The following is a 20,772-nucleotide window of genomic DNA, read 5'->3' as shown; positions in this document are numbered from 1 at the left end:
TCCTGACAGAAACTCCAGTGCCCTTTCAACTTATACCACAGCTGTCTCAGCTGGCTTGAGAGTCAAAAAGGAGAATGTCTGCAAAAATGATTAGCAGGCTGTAAAGCACTGTGTATATAAGGTGGTGTTCGTAGTTAGTCTTTGATATGCCAACTGACGCTATGGGAGCAGTTTCCCTAGCGGGAGGTCAGCATGTGCTGTCTCTATTATGGCCAGAAGAGAGATTTTAGAATTGCAAAAGGTATAACAGAGTGGTTGGACACCAGCAAAGGAGTTTGACAAGGCTGTCACATCTGTTCAATATTTCTACTGAAATAATCATGGGTATTGCTGTTGATGGTTACCATAGTGGTATTAAGGTTGGCAGAAGGAGATGATGTAATCTCGAGTATGCTGATGACATCCTGGCTGCTGAGTCTGTGGTTTCTGCACCAGAAGAGCTGGCGCCTTGGACTGGGGATGATTTAGACGCCGATACTGGCAGCTGAGAAGCAGAATATTTTAGCAGCAGCACAAACTGGAAGTGAATAAGAAAAGCAAGTGAAGGGTTACGCTGCCATAGTTTATGATAGGTAGTGAGAGCCACAACCCTCTCGCCTGTAAAAGAGGAGAGCAAATGGCCTAGTAAGCATTCATGAGGGGTGATCCAGAGCATAAAATGTCGCTGTGGCCTCACCCTATCTTGCCATAGACCTTTTCTTGGTTCTAATTTAGACCCAGTGTCTGATTAGTATGAAATAGCTGTTAGCTGAGCCTCAATTTGCAGACTTTTACCAAAGGAAGAGATGAAGAGCAACATGGAAGTGTGGCTACTGTCAAGCTGAGTTAAACCCAGAGTGATGACGACAATATCTTGGTGAAGGAGAAGAATGACAACAGGCTGAAAGAAAGCATCATCTGTTTCCAGAATCCTGGAACACTTCCTGCTGAAATAACTCATTCTGTGTGTCTTCATTTTCTGACAAGCAAATCTTGAAGAACAGAACTGGCATTCGTCAGGGCAAACACTAGAAGTATGCGGGTCTCCAGAAGGATCTGTGACAGGGCTTGTGAAAACTGTGTTTTTGAAGAATTCATCGTCATGTGAAAGTTCTTAGAATCTTCTTTGAAATAAAAATAGATCTTTATACCAAAATGTTCTTATGATTTTGAAAATAACACCCACTCATTGCTGAAACGTACTGAAATATGTGAAAGATAAGAGGAACAAATCATGCTATTTTCACAATTAAGAAATAATTAATGTTATGCCTTATTTTTTTCCAATATTTTATCTGTCTACATTTATTTTCTATGTATTTGGGAACCTACTTTATGTTCAATTGGTTTTCTGCTTTTAAAAATTTCACGTTTGTACATGGTATATTTCTGGCTGCTTCTCTGGATCCAAGGGTCATTCTGGGCTTTGGATTTCCTGTAGAATGGCTGTAATATTCCAGTTAGAGCCGAGGAAACTCGAAGCCTGGACTTGTCCATTCTATTAAGATAGGACATGAGGCCCGGCGCAGCGGCTCACGCCTGTAATTCCAGCACTTTGGGAGGCCGAGGTGGGTGGATCACTTGAGATCGGGAGTTCAAGACCAGCCTGGCCCCGTCTCTACTAAAAATACACAAATCAGCTAGGCATAGTGGTGGTCACTTGTAATCCCAGCTACTCAGGAGGCTGAGACAGGGGAATCACTGGAACCTGAGAGGTGGACTTCGCAGTGAGCCGAGATCTCCCCACTGCACTCCAGCCTGGGCAGCAGAGCGAGACTCCATCTCAAAAACAAAACAAAACAAAAAAGATAGGACATGACAGATTCAAGAAAACCACTCTCTCTGGTATAGTTCAAAGTTGTTGATTTTCCTTGAATACGTAATATGGTGGTGAGCCTGTGGGAAACTTCTTCGGAAACTTCCATCGGAAAGGCAGATTCTGCTTTGCAAATGTACCCTCGAGATTACCATGGGAAGATTAAAATGTGGGTATCCTCATAGTGTGGTGGAAACCTAATGTCCAGGGTGGAGAGGGATAGAGAAATAGGACAAAAAACCAGACTGCGGTTAGGCCTAGAAATTGCTCTGGAATGCCTTTCCATTTCTTTCTGCTTATCCAGCCCCTATTCAGGCTTCCAGGTTCAATTTGAGTCCCATCTCCTATAAAGCCTTTTCCAGTTAATCTCCCTTTTCTCACCTCAGATATTATTATTATTTCCTTTTTCAGTTCAAGTGTATTAATCCTGCCACGATGATACCTGATCATATTTTCTGGAGTCCATATATTGAAACATTAAAATTAAATTAATCAACATTTAATTAACAAATCAAAATTAACAAATATTTATTGAGTACCTACTGTGTATAAAGAACTGTTTTAAACACAAGTGAGGTAGAGCAGAGTAGGAGGAGGCGTAAAGATAGAGTAGGAGGAGGCGTAACAGCAGGCTCCTAACTTCAAGTATCTTACAGATTGAGCCATTTGTAGTTAATTCAGTCCCATTCTGGGAGAAAAATATATGTGGTGTATGAGTGGTGGTGGCGGCGGTGGTGGTGTGTGTACAAGTGGTGTGTTCGTGTATGTGTGTGTGTGTGGTGGTGGTAGTGGTGGTATGTGTTTGTATGGTGTGTTTGTGTGTGTGGTGGTGGTGGTGGTGTGTGTGTGTGGTGTGTTTGTGTGTGTGTGTGGTGGTGGTAGTGGTGGTGTGTGTATGTGTGGTGTGTTTGTGTGTGTGTGTGTGTGTGGTGGTGGTGTGTGTATGTATGGTGTGTTTGTGTGTGTGTGCGTGTATGTGTGTGTGTGGTGGTAGTGGTGGGGTGTGTGTGTGTGTAATTGTGGTGGTGGGGTGTGTGTGTGTGTAATTGTGGTTGTGGGGGGTGTGCGTGTATTTACAGTTGGCGGTGGTGGTGTGTCTCACCTCAGATATTATTTATGATGAAGCCCTCAGAGTTTGGCTCTCTGACCATGGACTGGCTTGAAGTGCTTCAGAAACCTACCCATTTGCCATGCACAGTTAATAAGCTCTGTGGCTAATTAGAGATGGCCACAAATTCCTCCTCCGTTGAAAATTGGGGTCCGTGTTCCCTCCCCATGAATTTGGGCAGGCTCCATGATTCCATGAACAATGATCTATGGAGGAAGTGATGTTGTGCCACTTTCTGAGACCAGGTTTTAAGAGATTGGCAGCCTCCACTTCCTGTCTCTTGAACCCCTCAATGGGGGGAAAGTCAGCCACCATGTACCACTTTGCATGGAAATGGACCAGTCTCCAGCTGTTCCACTCATCCCAGCTCAGATGCCAGTCACGTGAATGGAGGCACCATATTGGACATTTCAGTTCCAGGACATGCCATGTTGAGAAGAACCAGGGGCCCGGACATATGGATCTAGTTGAGCTGACCCATTCATCTCCAGATGTTTCAGCTGGGGAGCTGACATCACGGGACAGAAGAAATCACTCAGGTGAGTACTACCTAATTCTTAATCCATCAAATCATGAGATAGAACAATGTCATTGTTTTTATATAGCACAAGCTTTTGTGGTAGTTTATAATAAAGCAATAGATAACAAGAACAAGTTGGGGCGAGAGGTGGACCTTTTATCAGAGCTTCTCAAATTTTGCTGTGCATTCAGATCACCTAAGGGTCTTGTTAAAATACAGGCTTTGATTTAGTAGGTGTGGGGAGAGGCTTGAGATCCTATCCTGTATTTAGACAGAGTTTCGCTCTGTTGCTCAGGCTGGAGTGCAGTGGCACGATCTCGGCTCACTGCAACCTCCGCCTCCCAGGTTCAAGCAATTCTCCTGCCTCAGCCTCCAGAGGAGCTGGGTCTACAGGCGCGTGCCACCACACCTGGCTAATTTTTTGTATTTGTAGTAGAGACAGGGTTTCACCATGTTAGCCAGGATGGTCTTGATCTCCTGACCTCATGATCAGCCCGCCTCAGCCTCCCAAAGTGCTAGGATAACAGGTGTGAGCCACTGCGCCCAGCCAAGATCTTGTATTTCTAACAAGCTCCCAGGTGATAATGATGCTGCTTCTCCATGGATCATACTGTGAATGGAGAAGTACACTGAGGAGTGAGGCGTACCAGTTAGGACACACTGGAGGTACATTTATACAACTTTTCAAAGCGCTTTCACGTCTGGATCAATTACTTGAATAGCTTAATTAACTGAAAATCAGAAGCCAGAAGACACTTGAATAAAGCACGATTTCTCGAAGTGTGCTCTCTGGATCTAATTGAGTCACATTGCCTGAATTTGTTAAAAATGTACTACATCCCAGTCCTATCAGATCAGAATGGAAGGGGTTAGGAATCACCACATTGAACGAGGTCCCTAGGTAATTCTTAAGTATTTTAAAGTTTAAGAACAGCTGGTAAAGAAGAAAGAGCATTGAATTAAAAGAACTGAGTTCTAGTCTTTATGTTCGCCCCTAACTAAAGACAAACAAATCACTTCACCTTTCTGAGTCTCAGTTTCCTCATCTATCACATGGGAGGGAGATTGCTGGGCTATATGCCTTCTGTCTCTGATGTAGGGTGTATCCTACAATTCCTACACCAGGCCAACTTGACCTCTCTTCCTCTTGTCCTCTCTGTACATTGAAGGCTGGGGAGCACCATGCACTCTGCCTTAAGGCTGTCCACAGTATCATTGTGTTTCCTATTGTCTTCGTTGGCTCACAAAGAAGTGGATACAATCAGAGACACAGAACACAAAAAGTGCCATTTCATTTTTTTAAAACAAATATTAGTGTCAAGGCCAATGTGTCCTCAGAATAACATATACCTGTATCTGATATTGTAATTAAACTAAATCATTTTTGAAATTATATGTTTTTAATGGTAATTGTGCAGCCTTTAAGATTTCCTCTTACCTTGAGCACCATTGGGTAAATGTGTTCATGATTGAATTAGCAGAACTCTGATTTCAAAAGGACTTTTTAGTGATCTTTTATGGTAGATTAAAAAGCAATTTACTAATTTACAGTTCATAGGAATTCTGTGCCCTCCTTGAGTTTTGTAAATCAATTCTGTGCTAATAAATGCAACTATTGCTCCAAATGTTTCATATTGGGACAGCTGGTGTCATATACAACTCTAAACTCACAATTACATAATCAATAAAACTGTATTTTGTGCACTCCTTTCGCCCAGCATAAGCCCCTCTTAGGAATTCCTAAATTTGCAGCTGTCAACTTCTAGTTTTTGGGTAGGAAAACTTAACCAACAGGGCTGGAAAGTACCACTTTAATTATTTAATTATTTGCTCACCTTTTTTTCTAATCTGTCCTCTTTACTGTAGTGAGTAATCACAGTTGAAATACAACTGGAAAAAAAGTGACTTACCCAGGGCCCTTCCTCCTGGACACAGTTCTCTTAGCAACTAGGAAGACTAGTTTCATACTGGACACTCTTGTTTCAAAGAATGTATAATAATAATAATCATAGTAATAGTAGTGATGGTTAATTCAAGTGGAGTCTACTATGTACCAGCTAATTATCCACTTACTTCATCCTCCCAACTCAGTGAAATTCATACCTTCGCTCACACTTGCATTTTGAGAGGTTGAAGAAACTGAGGCATAGATTAAATAACTTTCCCAGGGTCCCAGAAGTAGTAAATGGTGGACCTGAGATTTGAACTCAACGACCCTGGCTCCAAAGCTTGTGCTCATACTAATATACCATACTGCCTTTATCCTTCATGTCAGATGGGCTCTTTCCACACAAATCTGCTCAGTTTCAACTGGATGACTGGTTTTCCTAAAGGAGATATCTATTATTTCTACTTGGGGCCGGTGTAAAAAATCGGCAGAGAAAGCTTTTAAAACTCAGTGCACATGGAGAGAATATCTGACAACTTGTTTTATTATTTTTCTTTTTTCCTTTCAAATTCAACTTTAACTATAAACTGTAACTCAGCCTTTGACAAGTCAACTCAGATCTGTCGAAAATGGAACTGAAAGGCTCAAGATGAAGAGTTGAGCATTTTTCTTTGGTTGGTTCCTGGGAATGAGTCTGGCTAGTTTGGAGATGGGGAAAGGCACTTTGCCCTCTGACAGCCCTTCTGCAGGAGGAAGGTGGCCAATGAAAGCTGGCACTGAGTTTGCCTTTTTTGTGGTAGCAAAGCTGGGGTGTGGGCTGAAGACAAGGTTTTCTCCTGGCTTTCTTAGGGTTTTACTAAGATGGAGGGAGTTTGGATCACAATAGGAAAGTAGAAGAGGGGTCTGGAAAATAGGCATTTGGCCTGTGGTAGTTTAAAGAATAGGTATTGGAAGGGTGGAGGAGTGAAGCCACACAGCCCAAGTGTGAACACCAGGGCTCCGTGGTGAACCCAGACATTACCCAAAGCTATTCATCCAGAGCCTTTCACAAAAGTTATAATTCTGTTAAATTGGAAAAAAGAGCTCAATGTGCTTACTTCAGTGTTAATACTTCCCTGTTCTAGGTCTTGTTGGACCTAAAAGATTTGTTGAAAAATAAATTGTTTATTCCAAAAGCAGTTACGTTATACTTGCTGAGACAGAATTGTTTGGAGAAATAGCTAGAAATTAGAGTTCAGATTTCACAGCCTGTTGTCATCCATTATTTATCTAGTCAATTTTCTTTCCCAAATTTTGCATTCCTTTTTTACCCTTCTCCTAGTCAGCTCCTGCGTTTTCTATGGATGTTGAGCAGCCGCCTGGTGCGGGGAGGCTGGCAGGCTATTGTGTATAGAGGCAGAGACCTCAGGTAAGGGAGGAAGCCAACAGGCAGGAAGCCCTACTGTTCAATATGTCAGGAACAGCATGAGGGCCCCACCTGCAGTACCTCTTCTGGAGGGTCAGCACGCCACCTAGACCCCCAGTACCTCCCTTACTTAAACTCATCTTTAGGTTCCGACCATTCCAGTGTGGCACACCCTGTGGGGGATGGGTTGGAATTTAAGGTTCAAGAGTTGGAATCCAGCCTTTCTGGAGTTACCCATAGATGCAGATGTTGGCGATAACTTATCACCAGAAGCAGGAATGAGGGCATAAGGGGAGATGTGTGCCTTAATATTGATACAAATAGCACTCTTTCCAATGTTCAAGTTGCTAAAAAGAGTCTAGACTGAGATTTGACTCCTTCGTTAGTTTGGAAATTATCACTATATTTCTTCTCCCATCATGCTTATCTCATTGCCAGAGAGATAGAATGGAAATGACTCCTCTTCTTCGTGTGTCTGAGGACTTCCCACCCTCCCCCACGGCTTTCTTTGAACAGTCTCCTTCTCCCCAAACTGCATTGCCCTTCCCTCTGCCCCTGCCCTTCTCTCTCATCTTCTCCCCCTTCTCTCTGGCATCTCTTCCTCCTTTGCCAGCCTGGCCCTACCCTGCCTCCCCGGCTCTCCCCAAGCACTCCTCTCCTTGTCCTTCCTTGTATTCTCTATTTTCACAAATTAACATATTATAAGCATTAACTGGCAGCCACCCTGAAAAGAGATGAGGCAGCGAGGGAAAAGGAAACATTCCTGCCAGGTTTTACTAATTCATGCTGCCAGCCCCGAGTTCTGTGGCATTTGCCACAGCTGTGAAATTGCAATAAACAAGGGGCTGCGCTTATATTTCTAACCTTTCCTCTGTTGGTGCTGAAGACATGAATTGAATGTTGAACAGTCTTACCACGCTATCGCTTGCTAAATATATTACATACCCTTTCGAAAGAGAATTGAGAAACGCTCAGACTTGGGGGTGTGTGGAGGATAGGGAGGGAAGTCGCTAGTAATATAGCAGGAAAATAACAATTTCTTTTATTGAAAGGAATTTGTCATCCTAGGAACCCAGTAATGAGCCAGTCTCAAAATGAGGTATTCATAATTTTCTAAGAATTAACCTGATATATATACACACATGCATATACATACATGCACAAACATATACACACATACACACATATGTGTGTATATCCTCCCAACAACAAAAGAAAGTTTGTGTCTTTTTTTTTTTTTTTAAAAAAAGAAATCCTTTATTCTTTTTCTTTTTAACTTTTATTTCAGGTTTAGGGGTATATGTGCAGGATTGTCACATAGGTAAACTGCGTCTTGCGGGATTTAGTGTACAAATTATTTAGTCACCCAGGTAATAAGCATAGTACACAATAGTAATTTTTTTTGTCCTCTCCCCCCTCTCTACCTCCCTCTCCCCCCTCTCTACCTCCACCCTCAAGTAGGCCCTGGTGTCTGTTTTTCCCCTCTTTGTGTCCATGTGTTCTTGTTGTTTACCTTCACTCTTTTAAGACAGGTAAGTTGAGAATGCTGAGAAAGAAGGGTTGTCAAGTGAAGATTAAAACACAGCCTACGCCATCATTACCTTCTGTCCTAGAAGCAATAGGTTCTCCGTCTCCACTCAGAGGTCGATGGCATTCATGAAGCAGATACTGTCTTCACAATGTGAGGGCACTTAGTACTTAAAGGGAAAGACTTTGTCTGTATTCAAATATTCCATAGCGTCTAGCCCAGTGACACAATAATGCAATGTGTATTGGGCTCTTGCTTTCTGCCAACCAAGTGCAATGCTAATGTTTATACACAACATCTTACTCCATTCTCAGGCAAGCCCTATGAAGAAGTAAAGGATCAGCCATCTTACAGATGGAAAAGCAGAAGCATAGAGAAATTAAGTGGAATCCCAAAGTCACAGAGGGATAGATGGTCATACATACAGGTGTACAATACATGTCTTTAGCCTTCCTTCTCTCCTTCCCTCCTTTCCTCCCTCCCTCCCCCCGCTTTCTTTCTTTCTTCTTTCTTTCTCGCTTGCTTTCTTTCCCTTCCCTTCCCTTCTCTTCCCTTCCCTTCTCTTCTCTTCCCTTCCCTTCCTTCTTTCTTTCTTTCCCCAGTTGTTATAAGAGTATTCTATGCCCAGAGCTGAAGTGAGCCATCCAGGGCTGGCAAGGTGGCTGTGCTCTTTGGGGACTGGTAGACAAGTGGGCTCTGCTGCCTTTTAACATGTGGCTCCCATCTCCAGGTCCAAAGCAGAGGCTCATATTTCCATTTTCCAGCCCTCAGGAAAGGGAAGATAGAGAGTCTAAGGCAAGTGTGTTTTTCTTTATGAATTTGACCAGAAGTTGAACCTGGTCATACCCATGTCTACTCATAGTTTGGATTTGCCCAAACTTGGTCATGTTGCCATACCTAGCTTCAAGGGAGGCTGGGAAATACAGTCTCTAGTTGAGCAGCTATGAGCCCAGCTAAAGCAGCAGTCAATATTGTGTTTGGGGGCTGTTGAGGGTGCTCCTTATTGCTAAAGGAAAGAGGGTGTAGGGTGTGGGAGAGGGCGGGCAGTGAACAGCAATTAACGGATGCTACCAGGGTGCTAAACTGAAAGTTTGCCTTTACAATGAAAAGTGACTTAGCTACTCAAATAGTGTAGCTAAGTCTTTACATTATAGGTTCTCTGTCTCCAATCATAGGTAATGGCATTCATAAAGCACATACTAAGATCTCACACTAAGTGTAGTGTAAGATCTTAGAAGAGGTCCGTAAGGTCTTAGTCCATTTTCAAGCTATATGTAAGCGTCCGTATAATATTATTCAAACAGATCAAGAACCACTACTTGGACCTGATTCTAGCACTTCTAGCTGTACGACTCTGGACAGATGATTGGTAATTAGTTTCTCTCGGTTTATTTTCTGTAACTTTTTTCCTGATAATACCATCCCCAATTATTGATAAGAAATAGCCATGAAAGCATTCTGGAAGAGTACTTGCTCAAAATAACAGTTTTTTATTACTGTTCCATCAGTCAACTTTCAATATTCTTTGGTACATAGGAGGAGAAGAGAGGCAGAAGTGGGGTTAGGCAAGTGGCAAAATTGTGCACAGATTAAAGCAGCTGAAGTGAAATGAAGTAGCAGAAAAGTTGGGAATATTAAAAGAGCAAAGTAAGTTTATATCTTAAATAAACACTGTTAATCAGTTCAGTTGCAATTAACAAGATATTATATTTTATAAGGTATTGCATTTCTTAGTGTTCCATTGTGTTTATTTGAAAACCCCTTTATTTTGTCTTCATTCTTGAAGGGTATTTTTGCTGGATATAAAATTCTGCAGTAACAGTGGTGTTTTTCTTTAACCACCTTTATTTATTTATTTATTTATTTATTTATTTATTTATTTTTGAGACAGAGTCTCACTTCATTGCCCAGGCTGGAGTGCAGTGGTACAGTGTTGGCTCAATGCAACCTCTGCCACCACATCCAGCTAATTTTTGGACTTTTTTTGTGGAGACGAGGTTTTGCCATGTTGCCCAGGCTGGTCTTGAACTCCTATGCTCAGGCAATCTGGCTGCCTTGGCCTCCCAAATTGCTGATACTACAGAGGTGAGCCACTGTGGCTTCACCACTTTAAAGATTTCTTTTGGTCTCTGTTGTTTCTTTTCTTTTTTCTTTTTTTGAGATGGAGTCTCACCCTGTTGCCCAGGCTGGAGTGCAGTGTATGCAGTCTCAGCTCACTGCAACCTCCATCTCCTGGGTTCGAGCAATTTTCCTGCCTCAGGCTCCTGAATAGCTGGAACTACAAGTGTTTGCCACAATACCAAGCTAATTTTTATATTTTTGGTAGAGACAGGGTTTCACTATGTTGGCCAGGCTGGTCTTGAACTCCTGGCCTCAAGTAATCCACCTGCCTTGGCCTCCAAGAGTGCTAGGATTACAGGCATGAGACACCACACCTGACTGGTCTCTGTTGTTTCTGACAAGAAGGCAGCTTTAATTCTTACTGGGTTTTTTGTTTTTTTGGTTTTGATTTTTGTAGGTAATCTGTTGTTTTTCTCTAGCTGCTTTCAAGATTTTCCCCTTTTCTTTGTTCTCAGCAGTTTGAGTATGATGTATGTACATAGATGTGATTTTCTTTGCATGTACTCTTCTTGTGGTTTGCTTAGCTTCTTGAATCTTTAGATTTGTTTCTTTAACCAGATTTTGGAAAATTTTGTCGTTATTTCTTCAAAGACTCCCCCCACCCATACTTCCGCTCTCTTTAATTCTTGAGACTCAAATTTTACATGCGTTACACTTTCTGATATCATTCCACAGATCTCTGAAGTTTTGTTCAAATTTTTCAGTTTTTTTCTCTCTGTTCTTCAGAATGAATAATTTCTTTTGATGAATCTTCAAGCTTACTGGCACTTTCCTTTGTCACTTCTATTCTTTTTATATTAAGCCCACTCAAATTTTTGTTTTAGATATTTTGTTTTTCATTAAGTTTCCATTTTATTTTTATAGTTTTCATTTTTCTGCTGAGATTTCCTATTTTTTCATTCATTAAAAGCATATTTTCTTTTATGCCCTTAAGCATAGTTAAAACAGCTGTTTTAAACTCCTTCTATGCTAATTTCAATATGTGGGTCACGACTGCAATTGATTTCACTTTCTCTTGAGTCTAGGTCACATTTTCTAACACGTTTATATATCTGGATCGTATCCGGAACATTGAATGATACATTGCTAATACTCTGGATTCTGTTTTGTCCTTCTGAAAGTTGTTGCTTTAAAAAAATAAAAGCAGTCAGCTAATTTCACTAAAAAGAAGGTGAAATCTCACTTAACACTTTTGTCTTACCTGGGCTGCTTGGAGTCTGTCCTATATTTGAATAGTTCAGTGGTCAGCTAGAGATTTGGGCAGAGTTCATATGCAGAATTTGAGACTGTCTCTTTCTCTTGCTTGCTCTCTTTTGGGGCATCCCACCTTCACTTTTAGGCTACTGTGGCTGCTCTGAACTATTTTTTCTTATTCTTCAAGCCAGTAAGACTTAAGACTTTCTATCCTAGTGTTAGCTAGCCTGCTTGGGATAGATTAGGGCCTGCCTTGAGGTAAAAAGCCATAAAAGTGAAAATTTTAAACTAGTGCCATTCCCCTGTCCAAGTATTGACTCTCCTCTAGTATCTGCTTTTGGCTGATCTTCAGTACTTTCAGGTATTTATTTATGTTTTGTCCAGTATTTATATCGTTACCTTTGGGAGAGTTGGTCCAATAAGTGCTTGTCTTAGTCCATTTTATGTTGCTATAAAGGAAAATCTGAAACTGGGTAATTCATAAGGAAAAAAAGGTTGGTTTGGTTCACGATTCTTCAGACTGGAAGACTGGGCATCTGGTGAGGGCAGAAGGTGAAGCGGAGTTGGCATATGCGCAGAGACCACACGGTGGGAGAGGAATCAAGGGCAGGTGTGGGACTCTTTTAAACAACCAGCTTTTGTGGGAACTAAATGAGGAAGAACTCGCTCACTATCACCAGGAGGGCACCAAGCCATTCATGAGGGATCCACCCCCATGACCCAAACACCTTTCATTAGGCCCCACCTCCAGCATCAGGATCAAATTTCAACATGAGGTTTGTGGGGGTGGGGGGGGACAAATATTCAAACAATAGCAGGGCTTCTCTTCCATCATCAGAAACCAGAGTGTCTGCTACATCGTAGAGGCATGCCAGGATATAATTAACTGTGGTGAGTTAAAGATGCCTCAGGGTCTTCAAAACTCCTCCTATTGAGTCATGGTATCTATATTCCTTCTCTTGAATCTAAGTAGACTCTTTTTTGACCAGTAGAATACAGTAGAAGTAATACTGTGCCTCTTGGGCCCAACGTCTTAAAAGTCTTACACCTTCTTGTTTCTGTTTATGGGAACAAGTTCTTGGTGTCCTCAGTTGCCATGTAAGAAATATATCTACCTGGAGGCTTCCATGCTGTGAGCAAACCCAAACCAGTCATGTGGAGAGGCTATGGGCAGAAATAGATTCGGGCTTTTATCTTGAAGGAGGGAGGGAAGAAGAGAGAGACAGAGACACAGAGAGCTACAGCTTTTCAGCTCCAAGTTATTCCAGCTGTGGTCCGAGGCATCATAAGGCAGAGATGAGCTACCCATACTGGTCCGGTTTGCATTATTGATCCACAGAATAATGGTGTATATAATACTACTAATAAAGTACTGTTTTGAGCCACTAAATTTTGGAGTGGTTTGTTACACAGTAATAGGTAACCAGAATATTAACAAAGTCATATCATTTTAAATAACAAATAGAGTTTTAAAAATGGAAATGACACAACTGCCTATATTATACCTGAGACATCAAGTGTTCACACTCAGTAAATCTACATGTTGTAACTACACTACCTTTCTCTCTCTTAGCTGCTTCTGGAATTATAGGCACAGAGTCTCTGGAGAAAATAATTAGACATTAGGGGTTACACTTTGTTAATCAACTTATTTTTGTGATGGCAAAATCAGTAGTGCCATTTTGATAGATGAAAAATCTGAGAAGTGGTTTAACTAAGGATAAGTGGCTGGAGTGGGGTCACTATGCTGGTGCTATGATTTCAATTGAATGTTCCCAAATTCACTGCTTAGTTCAGAGAACAAATTGATTGATTATTGATTGATTTCTGACAAGTTAGATCAATGAGCACAGATGAGTTCAAAAATAGCTACTATTATCCAATTGTGGGCCTTAAAAGGAAAATCAGATAGAAGACTTTGGGTCTCCTTTTTTTCACTGATCCCTGTTAACATCAATTAGCCTGTGCCCTGCTGTGATATTCTAATTTTTAGCACACGGAGAAAAATGAATTGATTTCAGGGTTGATATATCTTAACATTTAAAAGGAAATACTTCCATTGAAAATATGGGCACCTCAACAATAGAATAAATGGCTTGACATTTGTGAGGGCAAAATAGTCAATATAAAGAGAATTTTCCTATTGGAAAATAAATCATTAACCTCGCTATTTCTAAGTTCGATTTAAAAAGCTTGAATATGTCATTAATATATTTTTTCTTGTTCTTTCTAGATTAAGGCCGCGTCTATAGGGGGAAGGAGTTGGCTGCTTTCCCTGGTACCCCTGACTCTTGGATGTTCTAACAGTCCCAGTTTTTTTCTTCCTCCTTACTGCTTTAGTACCAAGGTAGGAATCTCCCCCACAGTGAGCAGGAGTGATTTGGGGAGACAGATTCAGTCAGGTAGCTTGACGTGGTGGGTAAAGGTAAGACCCTCACAGAAGCATTCTGCAAAAAGCTATGTTCTCTCTTTCCAGTGTCTTGACAATGGAAATGAAATCAGGCTAGGAATTCATTTCCAGAGTCCTCCAAAAGCATGTTACCATGTCAAATTCTTCAACACTTCTATCAACAGATAGAGTCTCATTTTCCTCCTCTTAAATATGGGTTGGCCTTAGTGACTGTGTTAGTCCATTTTGTGTTGCTATAAAGAAGTACCCGAGGCTGGGTAATTTATAAAGAAAAGAGTTTATTTGGCTCACAATTCTGCAGGCTATACAAGCATGGCACCAGTATCTGCTCAGCTTCTCAAGAATCTCTTACTCGTGGTATAAGGTGAAGGGGGATCAGGCAGGTCATATGACAAGACAGGGAGCACGGTGAGGGGGAAGGTCTCAGAATCTTTTTAAAAACCAGATCTTGTGATAACTCATTACCATGGGGAGGGAACCAAGCCATTCATGAGGGATCTGTTCCCATGACCCAAACACCTCCCACCAGGCCCCACCTCCTACATTGGGGACCATATTTCAACATGAGATTTGGAGGAGACACACACATCCAAACTATATTAGTGTCTCATTTTATTTATTTATTTATTGAGATGGAGTCTTGCTCTCTCACCCTGGCTGGAGTGCAGTGGCACAATCTTGGCTCAGTGCAACCTCTGCCTCCCAGTTTCAAGCAATTCCCTGCCTCAGCCTCTCAAGTATCTGGGACTACAGGTGTGTGCCACCACACCCAGCTAATTTTTGTATTTTTTTAGTAGAGACAGGGTTTCACCATATTGGCCAGGCTGGTTTTGACCCAAAGTGCTGGGATTACAGGCATGAGCCACCATGATTGGCCCAGTGACTCACTTAAATGAACAGATGCAACATAAATGGTGCTGTGTGACTTCCGCGGCTAGGTTAGAAAAGACAGCACACCTTCTTCTTGGTACTCTCTTTTGGGATGCTTGCTCTAGGAACCCAGTCATCATCCTGTGAGAAGGCCCAGGCCACATGGAGAAGCCATGTATAGATATCTTAGCTGACAGCCTAGGCAGAAGTCTCAGCTGTCAGCCAACATCAAATTCCAGACGTGTAAGTCAGGAAGCCTTAGACATGATCTGTCCTATGGCTACTTGTATCTGCAATCAGGTGAGTGAGTCCCAGCACAAACTGCCTAGCTGAGCCCAGTCAGCCACTAGATCTGTGAGAGAACATAATAGCAAAATAATTGTTGTTTAAAACCACTTTGTTTTGGGGTGATTTATTACACAGCAGTAGATTACTGGAACATCATGTAAAGTGATGTAAATTTTGTTTGGGTCTTCATTTTATGAATAGATTCACAGCTGGCTCTTTAAAATCGCAGTTCCACCCAGTTAGCACTCTCTGTCTTAGTCTAGATTTCCCCAAAAGCAGACCTAAGATAAGGGCTTGGATGCAGTTGATTTAGGAGGTGATCACATGAAGCAAAAGTAAAGTAGAAGAGAAAGTGAGACAGTGCAGGAAGAAAGCCAACAAATGTTTGCAGATATGTTGCTTACTACAGTGGGCAGCTGGGGCCCAGTCCCACTGGGGATCCTCAGAATTGTCACACTGGAGGGTAGGGAGATTGGAGCACCTATCACTCACTCATCCTCATCCTCATTGATTGAGATTGGTGGTAGGGGCATTAACTCCTCTGCATTGCTGGGCTATGCTTTCTTACAGATGGGAATCCTTCTGCAGCTCAGGAGAAGACAGAGCATAGGCACCCTGCTGCACATGCTCAATGTGGGACTCCAGCCAAGGTGCATGTAACTGTCCACAGTAGCTGTGCCGAAGTCAGGTGGGTTCAGTAAATGTGTTGCTTTAAATCCCAGGTTTCTGCCACATCTTCTGATCCATTCTCCATACACCAGTTAGGAAGAACTTTTCAAAACACAAATATGCTTTCAGAACACTCCCCTGATTTTGATCCTTCAGTGATTTCTCATTGTTCATAGGGAAACAATGAAAATCCTTACTGTGAGCCTGCATAGTCTAGCCCTGCTTACCCCCAACTATTTTCATATCAATCTCCTTCACTCTGCACTCCAACCATGTCGGCATTGTTTCATTTCCCCCTAAAAGCCACAGGGCCTTCGGACATGTGGTTCACTCTGCCCAGTCCTCACTCATCTCCAAGCTAGCTAGATAACTTCTACTCCTTCCTTTCATTTCAGTTCAAGCAACGCTTCCTTCCATTAGAAAACAGCTTTCCTGACACCCTCTCCCCCTGGCACCAGATCGAATAAGCCTTCTCTAAAAGCTAATTTCAGTTTGTAATTATATACTCCTTTAGATGTTCATTTTATTAAAGTTTGTCTCCCCCACTACACTGAAGCCCCAAGAAGGCTGGGATTATGTTTTACATCGAATAGCTGGGATATAAAAGGTGTGTGTGTGTGTGCACGCGCGCGCATGTGAGCATGTGTGCACACATGTGCCCAGGTGTGCATGTTTCAGATTAGATGCAAAGCTATTTGAAACATCTGCATTCTTTGGGTCCTAGAGATTTTTCCAAAGACCCAATTCACCAAACTTTCTTTTCAAGAATGCATCTTTGAGTAGCTTCTGCTGTTTCTCCTCCTCAGCTGAAAACTCCCCTTCTGCTCTGAAGGAAGTTCTAGGGAAGAGTAAGTGATAGGGTCCCTGTAAAACAAATCCATTGTTAATCTCCCGAAGGATAGATCTCCTTTTAGTTATTGGGCTTCTGAAGAAACAGCCAGAATTGCCTGCACCTGCTCTTTAAAGTGAACCTGACTAAATACACTTTACACTCCAGAATCCTTGAAAAAAAAAATGTATGTTTAGCTGCCAAAATGGTCCAGGATTTCTCAGTGTGTTTGGAAACTAGAAATTTGGATGAATAAAAGGGAAGGAGAGGAAAACCTAACATTTTAAACTTTCAGAGTTTGAAAGCAATAAAGACAGTATAAACACTCCCATTTAGAAATGCTTAAGAAGGATTGAATATAAATCCAGAGAATTATCCCTGTTATCTGTAAGGGTTGGTGAGGCCACATTTGGAATACTATGCACAGTTCCAGTCACCTTACTGTAAAAGGATATTCTAGAAATGGAGAAGGCACAGCAGAGGGCAACAAGAACCACACGGGGATTTAAGGATCTTAGTTATTCAGCGTGTTATTCTTTGGCAAAGGAGAGATTAAGTGGGAACTCATCAAAGTATAGACAATTCTGAAGGGAGTCGAGAGGATAATTGTTTCAAGACTATTTGAGTTAGCGTCAAATACAAGAACAAGGGTTTAGTAACTTAAGCTAAGAAAGTGAATTTAGACCGGCATTTTCTGAATCAAAAGTAAATGATATAAAACAAGAACCAAGGATGATAAAAATAAGAGATGTAGATTTTCTGAGGAGGAAATAGGTAATTTTTCCAATTTGTTCATTTGCGTTAAATAACAGAGAGTGATTTTTTTTCTTTTCCACTTTGAACAATTATGTCTTATCAGTGGGGTTAAATTAAAAAGGGTTAGTCCATTTTCACACTGCTATAAATAACTGCCCGAGACTGGGTAATTTATGAAGAAAAGGGGGTCTAATTGACTCATAGTTCTGCCTGGCTGGGGAGGCCTCAGGAAACTTACAATCATGGTAGAAGGGGAAACAGGCATCTTCTTCACAAGGCAGCAAGAAAGAGAAGAGTGAAGGAAGAACTTCCAAACACTTATAAAACCATTGGATCTCCTGAGAACTCACTATCATGAGAACAGCATGGGGGAAACCACCCCCATGATCTAATCATCTTCCTTCCTTGACACATGGGGATTATATGTTCCTCCATTGATATGTGGAGATTACAATATGAGATGAGATTTGGGTGGGGGCACAGAGCCAAACCATATCAAAGTGCTAGAGTGGCTATGTATGATTTTAAAGAATCTAGAGGGGAAGTTACCAGATTCAAATAAAGAACACATGGTTAAGAACTTATTGTTTTTTCTATGCCTCAAAATGTTATAGGTTTCTGAGCTGAACTTGCCAAAATGCCACATTATCATTCACGGTTTTGCACCAACAGCCAGTCCTAATGAAACTATACTTGTCTTCAGGCTGTAACATATCCAAACAATGATTTCCAATGTGCTAGATACTATTTTACTTGGATAAAAATGAAGGGGGGATAATTATATAGTGTATTAAAAATATTGATGGTAAGCAGTGGTTTGTTTCATCTTGATCTTAATAAATGTGATGCAGTTCAGGCCACATTTATTTATGAAGCACCAGCTGTGTGCTGGGCACTGTGGAAGATTCAGTGGATATTGTTAACAGATGCTCAGATAATGCTGGCGGATGTCTACATGCGGCCCACTATGGCCCCCAATACTTCTCCCTTCCAACCATGGCTTCGTCTGGCCTCAAATTTCTACTCTTAAAGTCACATAGACCAATGGTTCTCAACGATGATCTTTGGCAAAATTTCGACCAATCTGCAGCACAATGGAACAAAAAAATAAGAAAAATTATGTATTTACCAACTGGGCTCTCATGGAAAGCATCCTTCCAACTTCATTCTGAAAACCTGTGCTTCGTATTTTGGGGGGATTTTGTTGTTGTTGTTAAATGTTCTTTCTCATATCAAAGTATGAGATGACAATTTTTGGTGTTTTTATTAAGCTGCCAAATCATTGCTTCACAAATCTGTCTTTTGAAATTTAAATGGTCTGGGAAATCCAAAATGGTGGATGGAAATCCAAAACTATCTGAAATGCTCCTGCCACCTGGGAAAGAAGGGAGTGCACTGGTTGGAGAGGATAAAGGTGAGATTCTCCTCAGGTTTGGGAAGACAAAATATACAATGGCATGTGGAGGATGAAGGTAAGAAGAAGATGGGAAGGGGTTAAGCCTAGGCTGAACTGGAGCTGGCAAAGGGCCCTAAACCAAAACACAGGCCCAGGAGACGGCCAGGAGGAAGCTAGCCGGGGAGGGAAACCTGGGAACAACCAGACTACCTCAGGCTGCCCCCAGTCAGCTCAATCCAGCTGAAAAGCATTTACCTGGAACCTAACAGGCTGGGGCTGTAGAATGAGTGTGATACAGTTCTGTTCTCCAGGAAGTCACATAGAGAGCTGCTATGAGAGCCTACATGATAGGCATGGCATGGGTACACCACAGTACTTAGAACAGGGCAGACCCTTCCATTCCCTCACCCGCCATTTCTGTGCCCATTCTCCACTCTGCTCCCTTATTCCACCCTCCCCTGCCTCACCCCAGAGAGAATGGTGCTATAGTAATTTGGGCATAAAATAGATAAACCGACAAATGATTTAAAACAGCTTTACAGTCCTCCTTGTTGTCTTAGAAGCTACATTGGTGCAAAAGTAATTGCGGTTTTTGCCATTACTTTTCCTTTTTTTTGAGATGTAGTCTCGCCCTGTCACCCAGGCTGGAGTGCAGTGTATGATCTCGGCTCACTGCAACCTCTGCCTCCCAGGTTCAAGCGATTCTCCTGGCCTCTGCCTCCTGAGTAGCTGGGATTACAGGTATGTGCCATGATGCCAGGCTAATTTTTGTATTTTTAGTAGAGATGGGGTTTCACCATGTTGGCCAGGCTGGTCTTGAATTCCTGACCTCAAGTGATCCGCCTGCCGTGGCCTCCCAAGGTGCTGGCATTACAGGTGTGAGCCATTGTGCCCGGCCTGCCATTACTTTTAATGGCAAACCTGCAATTACTTTTGCACCAACCTAATATATTCTTAGATGGATGTATTAGGCCATTCCTGGCTTGCTATAAAGAAATACCTGAAACTGGGTAATTTATAAGAAAACAGGCTTAATTGACTCATGGTTCTTCAGGCTGTACAGGAAGCATAACGTGACCTCAGGAAGCTTCCATCATGGTGGAAGGTGAAGGGGGAACAAGCATATCACAAGATTAAAATAAGAGCAAAAGAGAGAGAGTTGTGGGGGAGGTGCCACATACTTTTTTTTTTTTTTGGACGGAGTCTCGCTGTGTCACCCAGGCTGGAGTGCAGTGGCGTGATCTCGGCTCACTGCAACCTCCGCTTCCCAGGTTCAAGCAATTCTCCTGCCTCAGCCTCCTAAGTAGCTGGGACTACAGGCATGTGCCACCATGTCTGACTGATTTTTTGTAATTTTAGTAGAAACAGGGTTTCACCATGTTAGCCAGGATGGTCTCGATCCCCTGACCTCATGATCCATCTGCCTTGGCCTTCCAAAGTACTGGGATTACAGGCAGGAGCCACCGCGCCCTAAAGACAGCACTAAGCCATAATCGGTCTGCCCCTGTGACCCAAACACCTCCCTGCAGACCCCACCTCAGCACTGGGGATTAAAATTCAATATGAGATTTGGGCAGGGACAAATATCCAAACTATATCAATGAGAGTGTTTCCTGAGAGCAGGCTGACACTGGGATTATGGAGCTGTGGCAGGCACCTTTCTGGGGCCCACAGATTGCTGGTGGATGGATACATGAAAGGGAAACAAAAGGGCTCAAATGGAGGTGAGCAGAGATATAATGGGATCACGGCAGGCTGCAGGAGGTGGGGAATGTTCTCTGAGTCAGTTTGGAACCTGAACAATTTGTCCCAGAGCAGGCCAGGCTCCAGTTGAGTGAGGCCCACTTCACTTCCCTCAAGCCTCTGACCTTGCCACCTCCCCAACTCTCAGCAGGCAGAAGACACCCCAGCTTCATGTCAGCAGCTGTCTCCCTCTTTTCTCAAGCCCACCCACTCCCCTGCATCCTCCCCCAACCTCTGGCCTCTCCTCCCTGG

General features: G+C 42.3%; 1 long non-coding RNA gene across 1 annotated transcript in view, besides 1 other annotated feature; it reads right to left on the bottom strand.

Moving 5' to 3' along the window:
• The window catches only part of LOC101929154 (uncharacterized), a 74,441-nt gene that overhangs the window by 22,472 nt on the left and 31,197 nt on the right, over nt 1-20,772 (bottom strand). The gene's annotated exons all lie outside the window — the stretch shown is intronic.
• Nucleotides 1,418-1,592: a silencer, noted in NCBI's record as "fragment chr5:77230857-77231031 (GRCh37/hg19 assembly coordinates)". NCBI's record gives its function as "represses an EF-1alpha promoter that drives an FKBP-Casp9 reporter gene in an ReSE screen in both phorbol 12-myristate 13-acetate-treated (for megakaryocytic differentiation) and untreated K562 erythroleukemia cells {active_cell/tissue: K562 | K562(+PMA)}" and the evidence as "EXISTENCE:reporter gene assay evidence [ECO:0000049][PMID:32094911]".

The sequence above is a fragment of the Homo sapiens genome, chromosome 5 (assembly GCF_000001405.40).
Source record: "Homo sapiens chromosome 5, GRCh38.p14 Primary Assembly".
Classification (NCBI taxonomy): domain Eukaryota; kingdom Metazoa; phylum Chordata; class Mammalia; order Primates; family Hominidae; genus Homo; species Homo sapiens.
This window is presented reverse-complemented; position numbering and strand designations above follow the sequence as displayed.